The sequence below is a fragment of the Homo sapiens genome, chromosome 15, assembly GCF_000001405.40.
Source record: "Homo sapiens chromosome 15, GRCh38.p14 Primary Assembly".
NCBI lineage: Eukaryota > Metazoa > Chordata > Mammalia > Primates > Hominidae > Homo > Homo sapiens.
This window is the reverse complement of record NC_000015.10, coordinates 54,603,879-54,623,440: the sequence shown is the minus strand read 5'-3', so window position 1 is coordinate 54,623,440 and position 19,562 is coordinate 54,603,879. Positions and strand designations below refer to the sequence as shown.

General features: G+C 35.4%; 1 protein-coding gene across 7 annotated transcripts in view, besides 2 other annotated features; it reads right to left on the bottom strand.

Moving 5' to 3' along the window:
• The window catches only part of UNC13C (unc-13 homolog C), a 795,839-nt gene that overhangs the window by 10,000 nt on the left and 766,277 nt on the right, over positions 1 to 19,562 (bottom strand). For all 7 annotated transcript variants that reach the window (XM_047432538.1, XM_017022220.2, XM_017022221.2 and 4 more), the window contains one exon: positions 1,022 to 1,114. In XM_047432538.1, the coding sequence (XP_047288494.1) occupies positions 1,022 to 1,114 (93 nt within the window). The remainder of the gene's footprint in view (positions 1 to 1,021; positions 1,115 to 19,562) is intronic.
• Positions 17,618 to 17,787: an enhancer, noted in NCBI's record as "experimental_40093 CRE fragment used in MPRA reporter constructs". NCBI's record gives its function as "activates a minimal promoter by MPRAs in K562 erythroleukemia cells, with activity observed for both the introgressed and non-introgressed 15:54897937 variant alleles {active_cell/tissue: K562}" and the evidence as "EXISTENCE:reporter gene assay evidence [ECO:0000049][PMID:34662402]".
• Positions 17,946 to 18,523: an enhancer, noted in NCBI's record as "OCT4-NANOG hESC enhancer chr15:54897116-54897693 (GRCh37/hg19 assembly coordinates)". NCBI's record gives its function as "activates a minimal SCP1, AML or CMV promoter by ChIP-STARR-seq in naive and primed H9 embryonic stem cells {active_cell/tissue: H9 hESC(naive and primed)}" and the evidence as "EXISTENCE:reporter gene assay evidence [ECO:0000049][PMID:30033119]".

Below are 19,562 nucleotides of genomic sequence, written 5' to 3'. Positions count from 1 at the left end.
ATGACAATATTTTGGATTGTATGCTTTCAATATTTAGTTACTTTATATACAAAATGATATTATAATGTGTTGCAATCTTATAAATAGCTTTATTTTTTTAAGTCTATCATGGCTAATTTTCTAATTCATTATATATTTTGTCAACTGCTAATAATATTTTGCTCTGTGGCTATTTCATCCTATATTTAGCCAGTCACTTGTTAGATATTATAGCTGTTTTTAAATTTCAGTCGTCATAAAAAAAATACTAAATGAAGATTCTCATGTGTAAATATCTTTGCTCATCCTCAAGCGAAGTGTCTTATAATTAAAATCACTACTGCAAAATATTCATTAAACTTTCACACGTTGGCAACATTTTTCAAAAATATTTAAGGAAATTGACAGTATATACTACTGTATATAATCTATTCTAAAATATAGCTATTTTACTTTTATGATGTAAAGATACAATATGTAATGTAATTCTGAAATATATTGGGCAGCCCTAGTTTTGCTCAAAGTGGGTATTGAAGTGACTAATATAAAAATAGAACGAGCGTATTGTTAACAAAATGCTAATCCTTTAATTTCATCTTTGAAATTACCCCTGCATTCAGGCTGTTTTTACAATGTAAAACCAACAAATTGAGCCACTCATTGTAAAGAACTCTAAGCCAGTTGTTGGAAATCATATAGAAAAAGCAGTAGGTTTTGTGAATAGTAAGAACATACTGACTTAATATTTAAAGTGCAAGTGTTCAATGAATATCATGGCACCAACCACAAAATAAATATCTGATAAAGTAAGTTTGGATATTTAATCAGTGTATTTATATATTTTGAATAATGCATGCTAAACATTAGTGCCATTGATATTTTTCTATTTTTAATCAAAAGTTTGGGTTTCATTAGGAAATTTTGTGCATGCCCTAAAATAATTGTGCAGTTTTTTTAAATGCAAGAAAAGTTACATTGCTGATATCAGTACTGCTGCAGAAGTTTAGAAGGCTGTTTTGATTTATCTAGACCAGAAGTATACCTTTTACAGTGACTTTATGATCTCCCGTTCCTGGGGTGGCAGTGATGTCCACATGAACAGATATCTGACCCACGGCATCTTTGGAGGAACGACCTGAAAATAAGCAGAGGCTTACTGGCCTGAGCTTTCAGACTCATTAATAATGGACAATTTCATTCTATGCATAAAAAACATAAAATGTATTATTGGAAATGAATAGTTCTTTCCATTAATAGTGCGTAATAGGTGATGATAAATATTCACTTAAGTATGAAATGCAAGTTTGAAGCTTGGATGTAATAATTACCCCATTGAACTAAAATGTCATTGGGCCTGCAGAAATCCTAAGACATTCTGTTACTATTATGATAGTTTAAAGAACTAGGGTTGATTTACTAGCCACTTAATGAAGTTATATTCATTTCTTGCACACAAGGATGCACCATTGCTTTTTATTACTTTAAGAGCTTTTCCACAATGTGCCATACCGGAGCACTGGGAACAGAAAGGTAGCTTTGTTAGGGTCCCTGCCTTCATGAAACTCATAGTTGGCCAGGGGAGCCCCACATGCAAATATATTACAACAATTTATTTATAAGGTGTACCGATAGCATTTTAAAAAGTCAACTGTCTCCTGGAAAAGATTAGTCAGGGGTTAAACTTATTGTGTTGGAAAGGGCCTGTGATTTCGGTTCAGATAAACATGAATTCAAATCACAGTATGTCACCACTGATTCTATGATTCTATTTTCTTAAGCTTCTGTTTTCTTATTTGTGAAATGAGGATAACACCAACCTCTTACTATATTCACATTAACATATCTTTTATGAACATACACATTTTTCCCCAAACTGAAGCACATGCTCTAGCTATTTGTTACCAGGCCTTTATCTTTTCACCTAAAAATGTATCATGGAGGTCATTCCAGTTCAGTGTAGATAAAGCTGTCACTACATCAACGACTACAGGCTTGGAAAATAAAACATTAATGTTTGACATTTAATCCATTATATGAATATATAATTTAACCATATTTCAATTGTTTAATTCCTTGCTATTATAAACTATAATGAATTATTATGCTACAAAAGTTTACAGTATAGTTTTTAAAAGCATAGTATTTTTGTCAAAGTTATGTGGCGTTTTAATTTCTACCACAGAGACTGTAACTTTTGCAATCTCATTTGCAATGTATTAGATTAATAAAGATCTTATTTTCATAAAAATGAAGGCAAATGCTGAAAGCCCGGAACAAAAGATTCTGAAAGACTTTCAGTTTCTATCTTGAGAGAATCATCAAGATTTGGGCCAAAACCTTTCAAGAGAACCTGCTGAGATGAGGCAATTCACCACAAGGGCCTCTCTCCTTGGCACAGCCATTTGATGATAAAAGGACTGGAAGACAGAAAGTGGTCACTTTGGACATAAGAATTTTAGAACAACCCTTCACACTAACGAAATAGACAATGACCCCTCACCACTGAAGTACAGATGGAGTCATCTTTTTTCTTTCCTTCCTCCCCCCAACACCAGGGAGACTACCACCAGGAGAAAGAAGTCATGAGAGGAGGTCATACCTTTATCTTTTACTCTTTGTACTACTGAAGGCATGATTATAGCCTGCTTTTGGGAGAGAGGTTTTTTTTTTTTTTTTGAGACAGGGTCTTGCTCTGTTGCTCAAGCTGGAGTGCAGTGGTGCAATCACAGCTCACTCTAGGCTCGACTTGTAGGGCTCAGGTGATTCTCCCACCTCAGCTTCCCAAGTACCTGGGACTAGAAGTATGGACCGCCATGCCTGGGCCTCCCAAAGTGCTGGAATTATGGGTGTGAGCTGCCATGCCCAGCCGAGAATAGAGCCAAAGCTTTAATGTGAGCAGAATGAAACTTTAAGAAATGAGTAATTTTCTCGCAGCACGAGTAACTAATACAGTATGAACCTGGATTGGGAGATCCCAAAGTACTGCACCTGGCCATAACATTCTAAGTAGGGCAATATGTGAGTTTTGATGTCCTTAGTTATGAAGGAAGACTTATGCTGTTTTAAAACAAGTAACGTCTAAGGAAATGTGCCTAAAACCTTTAAGAAGGGACTCTAAACGTATACAATGTAAGTTTTTCCTTTCTCAAATTGCTTGTCGGCGGTCTTCCATTTATACACCCTACCTGTGTGTGTGTTTTTCAATCAGTTATTGAGGGTTATATTGACGTCAGGGGCAGAGGCTTTAAAAATCTTGCTTATGTACTCAGCAGTGCCTGAACACTTTTCTGAAACCTCCTGGGTGGAAACATTTACTAGACTCTCAAAATACATATTTCCTTTTCTAAGACAAAATTTACTCTTCAATTAGGTCAAACATAGTCTTGAGAACTGGCTGTGTAAGGTAGTACAACCCTAAAGTGCAATGAGGAACATAAATTTTCTGACAATTGTGGGTTAGAAACAATGGGCTAGAAAGTATTGATTATCATTGCTGTTATTGCTTAATAGTCATGCTATTTAGAATTTTCACTTTGAAACTGAATGATTCTGCTTTCATGGCCCTATGTTTATACCACTCTCTAGTACTCATGCTATAGCTAGTATTACAGTTAATTATGCAGATTTTTCTCCTTAACAGAATGCCTTTATTATTAGTAATCCATACTTCTCATTCATACAATACAATGCTTTGATGTGCATTACGTGGACAATTAAATATTTGTTGATTAAATAGGCTGACAGTAGTTGCTTCCACAGTTTAAACAACATTAGTGTCCTCTGACCATTTCAAATTTCAGTTACCATGGTATATTAAATGTGTGTAATTGCATGAAGGGCAAACTTCACAAGCTAATTCTGTAGTCCAGTAATCACTGTGTGGATAGCAGATACATGTCATTAGTGACCAGTCTCTTCTTTCAAAGCAGGTGAATGGTCACTGTGTTCCTGTTCACACACAGACAACAAAGTGTGGCCACTTTGTTTCGCAGTTACAAACCCATGTGATTATTTTACAAACCTGGATAATCAAAAGATGGACTTGGCCAGGAAAGATCAAAGTGCAGCAAAGAAAGGATAAGGGATAATGCTAGAGTGAAACATGCGTAGAGTGCAAATGAGTTAATCTAAGCAATTACTGACCCTTGGATTGTTGACACTGCTGCCATTGGAGAGATTCTAGATAAGCATCCAAGGAGGTTACTGAAGTTGGGCTTATTAACGTAAGTGAGGAGAAAGATACAGATATCTTAGCAAAATTTACATGGAGAAAGGCTCACATTTAAGGAACTCTCAGGTAGGTGATGACATAAAAAGCTGAAAGGATTACAATGCTGGTGGATTGTCGTAGTCCTAAGTTTGGATCCATTTCCAAGGCATAGAAAAGCTGCTTGCCCCTTACTATACCATGAGAAGAAAGAGGCAAACACTGTTCAAACTACTCTTAAAAAGACTTTTACATTAAAACTCATTAGACAAATATTTTTACTGTATTTTAAATTTCCCTGTATGTTTATAATTGACAGTAAGAGGTTTTTTGTTTTGTTTTTTGACAAAATGTCTTTAAAAGTCACAGTGGAATTTTAACTTTTTCCGTAAGTTATCCAGATTACTTTGCACAGTTTGGCTCCCGTTATTTTCATAGTCCTGTATTACTGTGAAAAGAACTATACATATACTTCCGTTGATTCATTTAATGCTTTTGGTACTGAAACTCTAAAAGCTGCTTAATTCAGTCACATGTGAGTTACATGTGTGTTATATTGTGCCACATATTTTACCTCACATTCGGAAGATTTGCTTTACTATGTCCTTGAATATGATGTGTACAGTGAAATTTGTCAATTGTCTATCCCAGGGTAAAAATGAAATTGAACCAAAGCACTTTGAACACAGGATATCTCAATTGACTAGTTATTTGCTCAAAAAGGCAGCCTATATTTCCATTTCCTATGGATTTGAATATGGAAATAATCTAACATCATATTCTTTATTCAACAAAGTTTTAGTGAGCAATTCAGAAAAATTTAATGAGAGGCTTTGCCTGTTATATAGTCTTGCTTATTGTAAATCCATAGGGATTAGCCTACATGTGAAATCACCATCTGTGTGTCTACAACATGCCCTTTGTCACTAACATTATTGGGTCATGAATACTTCAAGAATGAGTAGTGCCCTTGTGAGCATACACTGACAGAGGGCAGGAAGCTCAAAGAGCTCATTGTCTGCTTTATTTGAACTTCTCTTCAGAAGAGCAGCTTTTGAGGATTAAAAATTCCTGCTTACTGTCGTTATAACACGGGATTAATAAGCACCTTACTGGAATCTCTCACCTACCATAATTTTAGTATGCTATGTGAGGGAATGAACAGTCTCACACATTTAATAATGACTACTCATATAATGCTTTTAATTGGTAATGACCTATATGAAACATGATATAGAAAACACATTACAGCTTCTCAAATGACCCCTATAAGTTAACCAATTGCTTAGGTTTCTGACAAATTTGAATCTGGCCCCATGCACCTTTGCTGGGCCCCACAAAACAAGGAGGTAGATTATTTATGAAGGTCAACCACTCTGGCAATATCACCATTAAATATCAAGCTCATCTGCCCCATAGCTCCTCCATCTTCAGGTCCAGGACTCTGGATTGGAATGACCTACCTCCACATTCAGTTCTGTAAGTCATTAGGCATCATCCAAGATGGTAGATGATGAATAAATGGACAATGACTTAAGCTTTTTTTACTCTCTCATCCATTCCAGTGCTTTCTTCCCTGGTCTTTGCTCATTATTTCCATGTTATTTAATATATATTTGGAAGAATTCATGGCAGTGATAACAATAATGGCTACAATTTTTTATTACCTATGTATGCCAGGCATTGTGCTAAGTGCTTCAGGTATAAGATCTTGTAAGGTATTGTTTACATTTTACAGATGGTAAGACTGGGATTCAGATGTTAGTTGCCTGTTTAAGTCAATAAAGAGCAAAGCTGAGATTTGACTTCAGATCTCTAACTTATAAGATATAGTATATACTGTGCTCTGATGCTCATTGAACAGCTTCTCCCCATATCCCTCCTCCCTGCCCCTCCACTTTTTTCTTTTTTACATCAAAGAGGAAAAAGCAAATTTTGACCTGGTTTAGTTTTAATGGCATTTAAAATATGGCTACACTAAAAGACAGGATATGAAACAAAAGATTAAAAAATTACTTTTATATAGGACCTAGCTATCTTAAGATTTTCTGACATTTATTTTGCATTTTCACTTCACTAAACTCTACAGTCACATGTCACTTAATGACGGGCATAAATTCTGAAAAATGTGTTAGGTGATTTCTTCATTGTGCGAACATCATCAAGTGTACTTACACAAACCTAGGTGGTATAGCCTATGACACTTCTAAGTGGTAGGGTATAGTTTATTGTTCCTAGGCTACAAACCTTTACAGTATGTTACTGTACTGAATAGTGTAAGCAGTTGTAACACCTGTATTTGTGTATCTAAACATAGCTAAACATAGAGAAGATATAGTATAAAACATAAAAACAAGACACCTATATTGGGCCCTTACCATGAATGGAGCTTGTGGGATTGAAAGTTGCCCTGGCTGAGTCAATGCGTGAGTGATGAGTGAATATGAAGGCCTAAGACATTATTGTACCCCCTGCAGACTCTCTAAACACTTAGGCTACATTATAAAAGATTTTCTTCAATAATAAAGTAAACTTTCTGTAACCTTTTACTTTGTAAACTATTTTTTAACCTTTTGACTCTTTCATAGTAACACATAGCTCAAGCTGTATAAAAACATCATCTTTCTTTATAACCTTATTCTGTAAAATTTTTTCTATTTTAAAGACTTTTTTTTACTTAAAAGCTTTTGTTGCTGTTGTTGTTAATAAACTATTAGCCCAGGCCTACACAGGGTCAGAATCCTCAACATCATTTTTTAAAATTTTTAACTTGAGTCTTTTCTAACTGTACATAATTATATTGCTATACTTTTTATGACTGGGAGTACAGCAGGCTTATTTACACCATCATTACCACAAACATGTGTGGTGTTATGTTATTATAATCTTATGGGACCACTGTTGAAATGCAGTGTATCACTGACTGTAACATTGGTATATGTCACAAACTCCACAGGAATTATGTAGACATACTTAAATTAACTTTGTTTCCTAGGACTCCCTATTTTCATGGCTTTCTGGACTTTAAACTTACTGCTGATTGATTGAAAAAGCTTATATCTACTACTTTATATTAAGTGAGTCTCCATGGCTACAGTTTGCTGAAGTGTGTTGCTGAGAAATTGATGAGAGGTTAGTAAGAAATCCATGAGGTAAGTCACCATGTTGGTTAATTATCTTTTAGAATTGCCTTGGGAATTTAGGTATCCTAACTTTAAATATTTTAGGATTGAAACATATTTAGATGGAAGAATTTTAGGGCTAAAGGGAGCCTTGGAAATCATTTGGTCCAGTCTTTTTGTTTTAGACATAAAGAAGTTGAGGCTTAGTATTTTGAACACATTTCAATAAAGGGGGCAATATTAGTGGTAGGTCTTATTTTTCAGTTCTGGATTCTTTCCACTGACAAACTAGCTTGTCTTTTGGAATCCACAGAATTGGTTAGATTGTCAAACAAGAGAAGAACTTGGGCAGTAGGTAGCATGTGGATTTGGCCAGTCACCATTACTTGTTTCCACCTGGAAACACACAGCAGTTGGGGAAAAATAAACAAAACAACTTTCAACCCCAACTAATGCCTGATAACTGTTTCAGATGTAGACAGTCATTATCTATTTGACTTGACCTATCAGCATCTCTCAAATCTATTCATGCACCACAATTACTAGCAAACATGACTATCGAGCAGAGAGAGGTGGAGGTAAAAAAAGATTCTCCATATGGCAGTGTGTATTCCCACCAGGCATTATAAGCAGGAAGAGACTAGGGAATAATACATCTTGAAGGATGAGAGCATCAGGATGTCTTCTTCTTGGTGATCACTGAGGTAAATAAATATAGTAATGGGAGCCAAGTTAGTTCAGATGAAGTCAGTCAGTCATGGGACTATGCATCCCCACAGCCCTGGCTTCAGACCACTGCATCTATCAGTAACCAAAGGAAGTTAAGAAGACAGACCCTCTTTTTGGTAGTACAATAGGGTGACTATAGTCAATAACAACTGAATGGTACATTTTTAAATAACTTGAAGAGTATAACTGGATTGTAAGTAAAAGGATAAATGCTTGAGGAGATAGATGTCCCCTTCCCCAGGATGTGCTTATTTCACATTGCATGCCTGTATCAAAACATCTCATGTACCCACGAAAAATTTAAAAAGTGGCTAAGGTTAATCCAGGTCACATACACATTGAAAAATCTATGTCTAAATACATCTCATTTGATGATGAGTGAACATATAAAACCCAATAAAGGGCATCTGAAACAAAAATTCTATAGAACAAGAAAAAGATACTATCTTCAGAACTCACTGGAGATAGCTTCTCTCTGAAAACAGTATTCCTAAATAAATCAGGATTTTTAAAATTAGTCACAACAAAATTTCTTGAGCTAAAAGTTTAATTTTTAGAAGAATTGCATTTCAGAAAAATTAGAAAAGTATAAACTATACCAGCATATATCTGGATGAAATGTTTACAGATAAAGGGCAAAATGTCTAAGTATATAATAAATATCCAAGAAGAAAAGGAAGAAGATTCTGGCAGCCCTGTATTTTTCCTCCTAAAATTCAGGAAAAAATTACACAATACCTAGTTATGAGGGAGACAGTATATGATCCTAGAATTTTAATCCAGCCAGTTTTTCCTCATGTGTAAATAAAAAGTAATTTTCAAAACTTCAAAAGCCCAGAAAAATTAATACATATTTCAGCCAATAGAGCCTAAGACCGGAGCTGTTGGGTTGTAGTGAGTGTTGGTATTGACTACCTGACTACCACACAAAAGTATTCTTTCTTGTAATATAACAGCTACAGGGGAAAGTTACATATTTTCAGGGAAATTATGGATTCAAAAAGATTCAAAGAGATTCAAATTCTTTGAATAGATGCCTATAGAGTCGAAAATTTGCTTTGTGCCAGCTCAGAGATGCTCATGACAACCCTTTAATTATGAAAGTCTTGGGAGTTTGGGGATGTGGGTATTAGCAACGACCCAAGTTCTATGCAATATGGTGTTAAAACAGAATAAGACACTAGCAATAATGAGAGAAAAATATTAACACTAGAAAGAAAGCTTTTCAATTATAGCCAGAGTCTAAAAAAATAAGTCAATTGACCTGAGTTTCATAAAAGGAAAGAGAAGAACACGAACATTATTGTATCTGATTAAGAGTTAAAAAGGAAAGCAGTATGACAATCAGCAACCTCTCTCCACCAAGTCCCTCTGGGGAACTACTTGTGCTATTAATTAAAGTAGCTGGGGCAACAGGAAATGGGGCTGGAGTTCTTACCCTGTTTTATTTTTCTTCAAGCACTTCTGATGTTGCAATGTATAATAGTTTCTCCCACCAAAATATAAGCTCCATAACGGAAAGATCTTTGCCCTGGTCACAAATGCTTAATTACTACCTAAAACAGTTCCTAGTACGTACTAGATAAATATTTGCCAAATACACAGTGACACAATTAGAAAAGTTGAGAATATTATTTAAAAGATAAATTGTAAATTAAACATGATAAACCGAGGTTATAAGCCTGGCATTTTATCATGATTTATATCTCTATTTTGATTTTTAGCTTTTTAAAAAAGAAGATATTACACAAATAGTTAAGGCCCCATGAGTTCTCCTCCCTGGTCTCTTTCTCCATTATCATGAATTCAGAAACTTACATTTGAATGTCTTTATACTCGGTTTATGGATCCATAAATATTTATTCGTTAATATTTGAAAACACTATTATGAGTATCATTGTACAGTTTTATTTCACTAGGTATTGTTTGAGGTTTATCCATGTTAAATAGACAGCATTGTAATTCACTTATTTTAAACTACTGTATAGTATACCATTCATGAATATTTTATGATTCATGCATTCTCCTATTAATATTTAGTAAATAATAGCAACACAATTTTAATAGACATTTTTTAATATGTCAACTATTGGGATTTTGATCATTGTATTTATAGATTGCTTGCTCTGAATTTCAAAATCTTTTGGAGGTTTTATACATATTTTGCTACATTTGTATGTATACTGTTTTATTATTTTAAACAGGATATTTTAATTTTATATACTAATTGGCTATTATGTAAAAAAGCTATTGATTTTGTAGTGAGTAAATCTTCTAATTGTTTTTATATAGATCTATTTATGCTTTCTATGTAGGTAATTATGTTGTCTGCTTCTAAAATTGTTTAGAAGTCTCTTGTTCTTGAGAGACAAATAATAATCTCCTAATTTTATGTGAATATAACCTCTAAATAATAGTGACATGGCAAGCACAAAATTAGGACCCCACTGAATTAATTCATATAAGTATAAAAATTCTAAGTGAAATACTGACAAAATGCAAGCCTTTGACCAAATAAAGCTTATTAAAACTTATAGTAACAAGAAAAGATTGGTTTCAACTATTACCCTAATAAATATCTCAAAGTCTAATAAGGTGTGATAAAATTCAATGCTCATTCCTATTCAAACCTCATTCATATTTGGAGGGTAGCTTTAAAATGTGATTTTTCAAAAATATCCACTTCGTTTGCAACAATAACACATGTAAGTCATTAAAAATTGCCTTTTAAAGCAAACAAAATAAGACTGTGCGAAATTAGAGTAAATGAATGGAGTCAATGAGAAAGAGCACGATTATTCAATTGAATGTTCTAGGAGGAGTTTTTACTATTGGGGAAAAAGTTAAACAGGAATCATTTGATATCTGTATGTGGAAAATCTTTTGGAACTTGAAATCAAATCACAAACTTAAAAACAAAAAACATTTGTAAATCCATCTGTCAACTGGGAAAATGTTTTGTAACAGATGTTACAGAGAGACGGTTACTATCCCTAATGTATAAAGAAGTCATATAAATAAATAAACTCTAAATGAAGAAAGAAATAGACAATTCACAAAAAGAAATTTAACTGGTTCATGTGGAAAATGTGTAACCTTTCCACACCTTTAAGGTATCTAGCATTGCTTATCACATTAGCATATATTTTAAACAAATACAACCACCTAATGCTAGAGATTTTGTGAAAAATATAACTACTCGAGTCCACTATTGATGATGGGAAGAGAAATTAAAACAATGATTCCAGGTGGAAAGCAACTTGGGTATTACATGCTTTCTGCATATTTGAGTTTAGTAATTTCAATTATGAAACTATTCAAAATATATGTGACAGATGGTGTTTTATAAAATTCTGGTTGAAAATGAGAAATAAACTTATTTTGTAATTGCTGAGTAAATCATTAAATGAGATATCCATGTGATCAGTGCAACAGTTGTAAACTTGACAGTTCAGAGTTAATATCATGTAAAATACTTATGTTGCAAGGTCATGTAAATGGATACATAATTGTGTGTAAGCCTGATGAAGCATTTAAAATAAGATTAAATTACAAAAAATATAACACAAGCTTAATTTTTTGAGTAATATCTTTATACTCTGTATTTTCTATTGTTTTCCAATTCCATGTTACTTTTTAAATAAAAATAAAATAAATGTAGTTGGAACATTTCAAAACGTGTATTAAGAGAGCTTGATTTAATACTGGCTAAAGCATAACAGTTATCAAGAAAGAGGGATTTATAACTTACTTACTTACAATCATAGCGGTTTCAAAGGAGTATATGCATATACTTTTCCAGAAGAGTTTAAAATAGTTGAATCTTTCAGGATTCTTAAAAGTTCCTCCAGAGATTATTTCAGAAATAAGAACTCAGCCAACCTATGGATGGACCTTCTCTTCTTTAGGTGTTATCTTAATCAGATTTCTTGAATATACTGTCCATCTCTGCTTACTTTTCTCTTCAAGCATAATTTTGCTGAAAATTGGGAGTCTCCAGTGACCTTTTTTTTAGCCAGCTATATGTGTTTTTTCAGATTGCATCCTGTTAACCAATTGCATCCTGTTAACCCCTTCTAAACCCAAGGGCTCTTGCTGATTTGAGTGGAAATTTTAAATTCAATCCTAAGCTTTAGAAATTGTTCTATCAATTGTAAACAAATTTACCTCTTATCACACTCAGCAATATCCCTTTTTACAATCCTTCCTTGCACATATGCAAATACTACTCCACTTCCCAGCTCTGCCACCTCCACATAGCTTCCCCAATCACTCTGACCAACACTACTGATGGCCACTTGTAGCTACTGTATTCTCCCCATACCATCCATTTTGTCACTTAATATGCCACCTCATCGTGTATCCCTGTGATTTTCTACAGATCAAACCTATTACATCACGAAGTTATGCCAAGATTAAAACAGTTTTAATGCTAAATTTAAAAAAGTATAGTTGTCTAAAATTTTTTTAATACTTACTACTATTGGTCAGATTGATGGAATAACTGATACAAAAACAAAAACTGGTCATTGAAACACAAATTTTGGAGATGAAACCTAATAGTGATGCAGTGTATGTAAAAGGTACGTGATGGTCTCTGGGCCATACTGCCTGGGTTTGAATCCAGGCTTCGCTAAGTATCAGCTAGATGACCTTGAGTAAGTTACTTAATCTCAAATCTCACATCTGTAAAATAGGAGTAATAGTTCTTACCTATTTCAATTGTTGTAAAGATTAAATGAGTTACCACTTGAAAAGAACTTAAAATACCTGGCATATGTAAAGTCTAGTTGCTAGCTATTATTTTGGTGGTTATTAAAATATTATTCATCCCTGTTTACCTAGCAATTTCTATAAACCTGCCTTACAGAAACACTTGCACAAATACACAAAGACACATATGACTAACATTTTTAGAGGTGGGTGGATCACTTGAGGTCATCAGTTTGAGACCAGCCTGGACAACATCGTGAAACCCTGCCTCTACTAAAAATACAAAAAATTAGCTAGGCATGTTGGTGTGTGCCTGTAATTCCAGATACTAGGGAGGCGGAGACAGGAGAATTGCTGAACCCGGAAGGCGGAGGCTGAAGTGAGCCGAGATCGCGCCACTGTGCTCCTGCCTGGGCGACAGAGCAAGACTCCATCTCAAAAAAAAAGCTAAAGACAACCGATATGTCTATAAGTAGTAAACTAGTGAGTACATCATCATATATCATATGACATACTGTGAATGCACACTAAACAGTGAAGGAACTCTTTTGTATATAAGATAAGATCTATTTAAAAAAAAACTACAATATGCACTGATATGGTTTGGCTGTGTCCCCACCCAAATCTCATCTTGAATTGCGGTTCCCATAATCTCCCCATGTCATTGGAGGGACCTGGTAGGAAGTAATTGAATCATGGGGCACTTCCCCCATGCTCTTCTCATGACAGTGAGTGAGTTATCATGAGATCTGATGGTTTTATAAGGAGCTTTTTCCCCTTTGCTCAGCATTTCTCTTTCCTGTCACCATGTGAAGAAGCACGTTTTCTTCCCTTTCTGCCATGATTGTAAGTTTCCTGAGGCCTCCCCAGCCATGCTGAACTGTAAGTCAATTAAACCTTTTTTCTTTAGAAATTACCCAGTCTTGGATATGTCTTTATTAGCAGCATGAGACTGGACAATTACATGCATATTACTCAATTTTAGGGGGAAGAAAGAAGTATTTGTACATGTATGATTGAAGGTCTGGGAGAATAAACAATACACACAGATGGTGTTGGCTGAGTGTATTAGCTTTGCTATCATACACTCTCATATTATCTGAATTGTTTAACAAACATCTAGCACTTAATTAAAATGTTTAAACATATAAAAAAAGAACCAGAAAACTAGAGCAGGAAAATATAGATGACAAGTTCAGTTCATTGATTTAAAACCCTGTGGTTTCCCTGTCTGGAGAATACATACATCACTGATGTGGCTCAGTCATTTTGACCAGGATATTATCCACCCCGCCAAGCAGCTATCATGAACAAATTGCTGAATTTGTGAGCATGTGAGTGAGTCACTGAACAGTGTTGAGAGGAAAATTGGTAATGCACATCAATGGGTAGATGGAGCAGTGTCCACAGTGATCCAATAATTGGTACCTGGGTGACAGCAGAAGACAGAACTGACTTCATTCCAGTAATCAATCAAGAATGCTCACCCAGGAAAATACTCAAGCAGCAGCAGTAAAAAGCCATTAAAAAATGAAATGAAAAGAAATCAGCTTAGTTATGGACAACAATGCAAACACATCCAAGAGATGACCACAATTAACAGCAGTAGTTCCCAGGGTTCAGAACATTTGGCTGAGAACTCATTTAATACCAGAGACTTCAGAAACATTAGAAGCTAATGTTGAAATAGTAAAATGTAACTCTCACCATCACTTTGAAGCAGCCACTCTGCAAGAAGCAGGCATACACAAATTTAACTATCCTACAGAAAAGGCAAGAGGGTGGTAATGTACTGCTCTGATCTTTTAAATCAATAATTGGTCTAATCTAACATAATTCAGCAAGGACAGTATAGCAAGATAAGGAACTGTAATGAACAGAATGAATAACATTTGTCAGAAGAGAAATAGAGAATATATATGGTTTCATTTCCCAGCAGATACAATAAACAGAGGGTATAATGCAATAAACCCTCAGTGTTTCCTTTTCTTCCTTAGTGTATTTTGTTTTTTATCGTGACACAGTGCTGAATAAGAATCTGGAATCTGAAATATATAAAAAATATAGACTAAAAACAAACATGATTTCTTCATTTGTTTGTTAACACATTAAACCTGCCACTTTGCTAGGTGATGAGAAATATAAACGAGAAAGCAAAAATAAAAATGAGTGCATCACATCCTGTACCTTCAGAGAAGTGAATAAAATATATACATAAATAACTCTACTGGAAGATATTTTTGTGATCTGAAAGATTTGCATTTGAATTCTGGCTGTACCACATACCTGTGCTCTGGGCAATCATTTTAGCATTCCTGAGATTCATGTTTTATTATCTTTGGAAATAGTCACACTCCCTTCACAAGATCATGAGGACAAAATGAGGTGACACTGGTTGAAATTACAGTCTAACACATATTTGGTGCTTATAAATGTTAATTCCTTTACGTCTTTTTGTTTTTATTTGAGTAAGATGATCTATTTAATTTCTGTTACATTAGTTTTAACAACTCATTTAATGTTTATAGTAAACTTAAATATAAGTGTTTTTTTTTGGAAAAAGACCTGGAATACATAGACATGATTTCAGTTTTCTGACTTATCCCGTAATGCTATTGTCTTCTAAAAATCTTGAACTTCATCTGTTTAGTGGAGAGAAACTGGCTTTTTGTTTTTTCAAATAAATGCAAGGAGAGCATGTTCCTTTTGAGGAGAAGTTATGAAATAAACACACAAAAATAAAAACTACTGTTTGTCTGATATGGTTTGGTTCTGTGTCCCCACCCAAATCTTATGTTGAATTGTAATCCCCAGTGTTGGGGGAGGGAACGGGTGGGAGGTGATTGGATCATGGGAGCAAATTTCCCCCTTGCCTTTCTTGTGACAGTGAATGGGTTCTCAAGAGATCTGCTTGTTTAAAAGTGTGTAGCACCTCCCCCTTCCCTTTGTCTCTCCTGTCTGCCATGGAAAGATGCTCTTGCTTCCCCTCTGCCTTTTGCCATAATTCTAAGTTTCCTGAGGTCTCCCAGCCATGCTTCATGTACAGCCTGCATAACTGAGTCAATTAACCCTCTTTTCTTCATAAATTACCTCATGGTCTCAGGTAGTTCTTTATAGCAGTGTGAGAATGGACTAATACCTTGTCTGAAACATTTAAAAAATAAAAAATAGATCTCAATTTCCAAAGACTGTATTCTCTACAAGAACGGTCACTCTAACAATCTCCTAAATTCAAACTGTGCTGAGGAACTCCCAGGTAGAAGATAGGATTAATAATATTTTTTCTTTCTAAAGAATGTATTGAACTGACTCTGAAAAAGGACAAACAAGCATGGAGAAACAGAGATAAGAAACAGTGTTCTGAAGTTAAAATACTGGCTTCTAGTAATTTCTGTGGCCTAGTATATCCCTGTGATCTGTGGCTTGGTTCTCACTGGCAAACCAAGATTCTCTCGCATTCTTAAAATTCATTCTACTCTTCAACTATTTGGTATCATACATCTGTCACTACCAACCATTACTTGCATTCATAACACAGGATTTGACATAGAACTAGATACCAACTCATTTAAGTCAAATTTATTACATAATTTTTTAAAAAGTTTTAAAAAACTAAATTTAAGATTTGAAGCTGATGAAAATGCCAATTTTTTTTCCCACAAAACCTTCCCTGATTTCTCCACAGGAAATAGTCTCTTTATAAACCATGACTGTGTATAATTCATTTAAAGCTTAGTATTTTCTATTTTGATTATAGTCATTTGCATACAAAATACATATATTTCCAATTCGGTAAATTGTAAGCTCTCTAAGGACAGAGTATGTGCCACATTCATCCATGTAATTCCTATGGCTAACGCAGCACCTTCAACTCAATTTGGTCCCAGTAGAAAGAGAGCACAGCAGAGGGTTTGACACCACAGGCTGTAGGGTCAGATGCTCAAGACTGAGATTTAGCTCCTAACTCAGCATGACTTTGAGCAATTCCTTAATCTCTTTAACTCTTAGTTCCTCATTGGAAAAATGAAATAGTTTTTTCCTTTTATGGTACTACGAGGATTGAACAATGTAAAGCACTTAGTTCACCGCACGCAAATCGTCAAACACTGGTGGTTAACATCTCTAATGCGTACTTGCTCTGAAACTCTGGGTTTGTGTAATGCACTTGCATAGCTCAAGTTTCTTTCTTTTTAAAAATTAAGGCTAACTAAATGACAAAGTAAGTTTGACTCCCTAGGTTCCCCTAAGAAACCCACAAATGATTTATAGGATCATCATGACCTTTGAAGTTATCTACTGATTAAATATGGAACACATGCATCTTAAATTTGTTTTAAAATAAATTCCTTCAAGTTATAAATTTGTTTTGTGAAATCTTGCAAAGCTTTGCAAAGTTTGTCATATCATATTCTGTCATTTTCAATAAGATTCCAAGTCTTAGGCCCTTGCTAGAAATCTGTGCTGAAAAGCAAAATATTGATTCAACTTCAGAGAAATGTAATATAGAATCTAAGATGACTTGCTACAACGACAAGTAATAGAATGTTTGCTCACTAATTGTACTTTTCTTTTATACTTTAATAACAATAACAAACCAATAGCCAAAGACAGATTTGTTGTATTTTGCAAAGTCTTTCTCACCAGAAGTGGGAAACAGGAGTAGCCTAGCAATGTCATATAATGGTTTTACACACGGATGCCTTTGGCTTCTTAAAGAAGGCAGAGGCAGACAGTGCTCTGCCCAGGGTATAACACTTGGCTCTAGTTTATTTTCCCTGTTTGCAAAGGCTTGTCATCCATAGTTGCAAGTAGCACTGGCCTAATGTCCATGAATGATGTTTATACGGAGAGAAAATGTTATGAAGTTTGCCTTCATGGCATATTGCTCGCAAAGCATTTAAGCGATCGAGCAATACAGGTTTGACCAGATCCTGCTGTCTTCTAGCTGCATCCTGGTTGACTGAATCCAGGACTGACTCAGTCATCATCCATCAAACATTCACTGGGCACCTGCATTTCAAGCATTAAAACTTGGTTAGGATGATTCCTCACCCTCTCTGTATACTGGAAACACCTGAGGAACTTTAAAACAAGGGTGGGCTCCATGCCAGGACAATTACATTAGAATTTTGGAAGTGGAGCTCCAGCAGCTACATTTTTTTTAAAAAAGGGCTGTAGGTAGTTTTGATATGCAGCCAAGGTTAAGACCTACAAGTATGGGGGCTCCAAAGCAAGACAAAAGAGTATTTTTGAGAGCTTCTAAGCTTGTGGAAGGATAAGTAAACAAAATCCAGTGGCATCTGTGCTATGATAGGAAATATAAGGGGCACTGGAAGCACACAGGAAGAGCACCTCATTAAGACTGGGGATTGGCTCAGAGTGCTAAGCTTAAAAGCAGTTTCAGTGATTCTACATGGCACTGTGGCCCCTCTTAGAACTCAGCTGTCTGATCCAGCTAGGACTGATTAACGGGCCATTCAGACAAATTGGTTGCTGATTGTTTGACCCTCCCCTGGGGCCACTGTTTACCAGTTTGTGAGCTTCCCACTGATCACTTCTCCCTCCAGCTTTACTACCCAGCAGGTCTTGTTTCTCGTCTCAGGCAGTGAATCCTAACTCCAAGCTGGGAATAAACTCCCAGTGAGTTCCCCTGCTGATGCAGCATCCTTTGGAGATGAGGAAATTACCCATCTCAACACAGAACAGAGCTGTTTTTTTCCCCCAGTTGTACTTTATTTTTTAAGTTGCAGGGTACATGTGCCGGAAGTGCAGATTTGTTAATTAGGTAGGTCTGGGTCCAGACCATTCATTAGGTTTTAGACTCTACATTTTAAGCATGAGGAGAACTCCATTTTGTTTGATTTCTCATGCTCTCTATTATGACAGCATTCCTTTTCAATGCCCTGTCAGAGTAACAACATCTGAACAACTCAGAGTCCTCCAGAACACTGCTGACACAGTATTGCCCTGTGCTGGCACTGGAAAGAGGTGTTCAAGTGGAAATATTATCCCACCAGAAATAAAGAGGTCTTAGAGGAATTGCTGACTGTAAAGGTGACAAGACCAGTGGGGATTCTGGCCTCACAGAGGTGGCCTCTTATTTTCTGGAATCAATATTTAGAATTGGAGCTTTTACTGGAAGCAGGGAGTTCCCCAGGAAAGTTAGCCCCTTGAGGAAAGAGGTATCAGTGATCCCCCAAAACTGCAACTGCCCCTCTCAAAATAAAGTGTTTACAATAAATTATGCACCTAAACTCAGAGGTGTTACAGCTGTTTTTCTTTTGTTTTCTTTCTTTCTTTCCTGGTTTAAGGAAAAAAGTAATTTCAAACTTCGTTGTGTTTCTTAACGGAAAAACTGAAAGTAAACTACAGGTATTAGATGCACAACTAAACATATTTTAGTTCATCTATGTGGTGGGAAATTATACATTCTTTAACTCATACTTTTGGAAATTTTAGATGACATGTGACAGTGTCATCAGACCACATTGTGATATACACAATGCTAGGACATGGATGACAACAGAAACCAACCAGTCCACTGTAGGGTGAAGAAAAGGCCACCTCCAAAAAGAAATGGGCATGAGTTCAGCTCTCACATCAACAAGCTGAGGGTGAAAGCGTCAGAGGCAGATCAAGGCCTGGAAAACCGTGTACCAGGCATGTGAAACCAGAGGATATCACAGGCTCTGAATAAGTGGGAAAGAACATTTAGATATTGGTAACAAAGAGTGGGAAGGCTGCACTCAGTCAGGTAGGAGGAAAAAAAAAGAAAAGCCGTGCTCAGGTGTAAGCTTTCAATAAAGTCTATC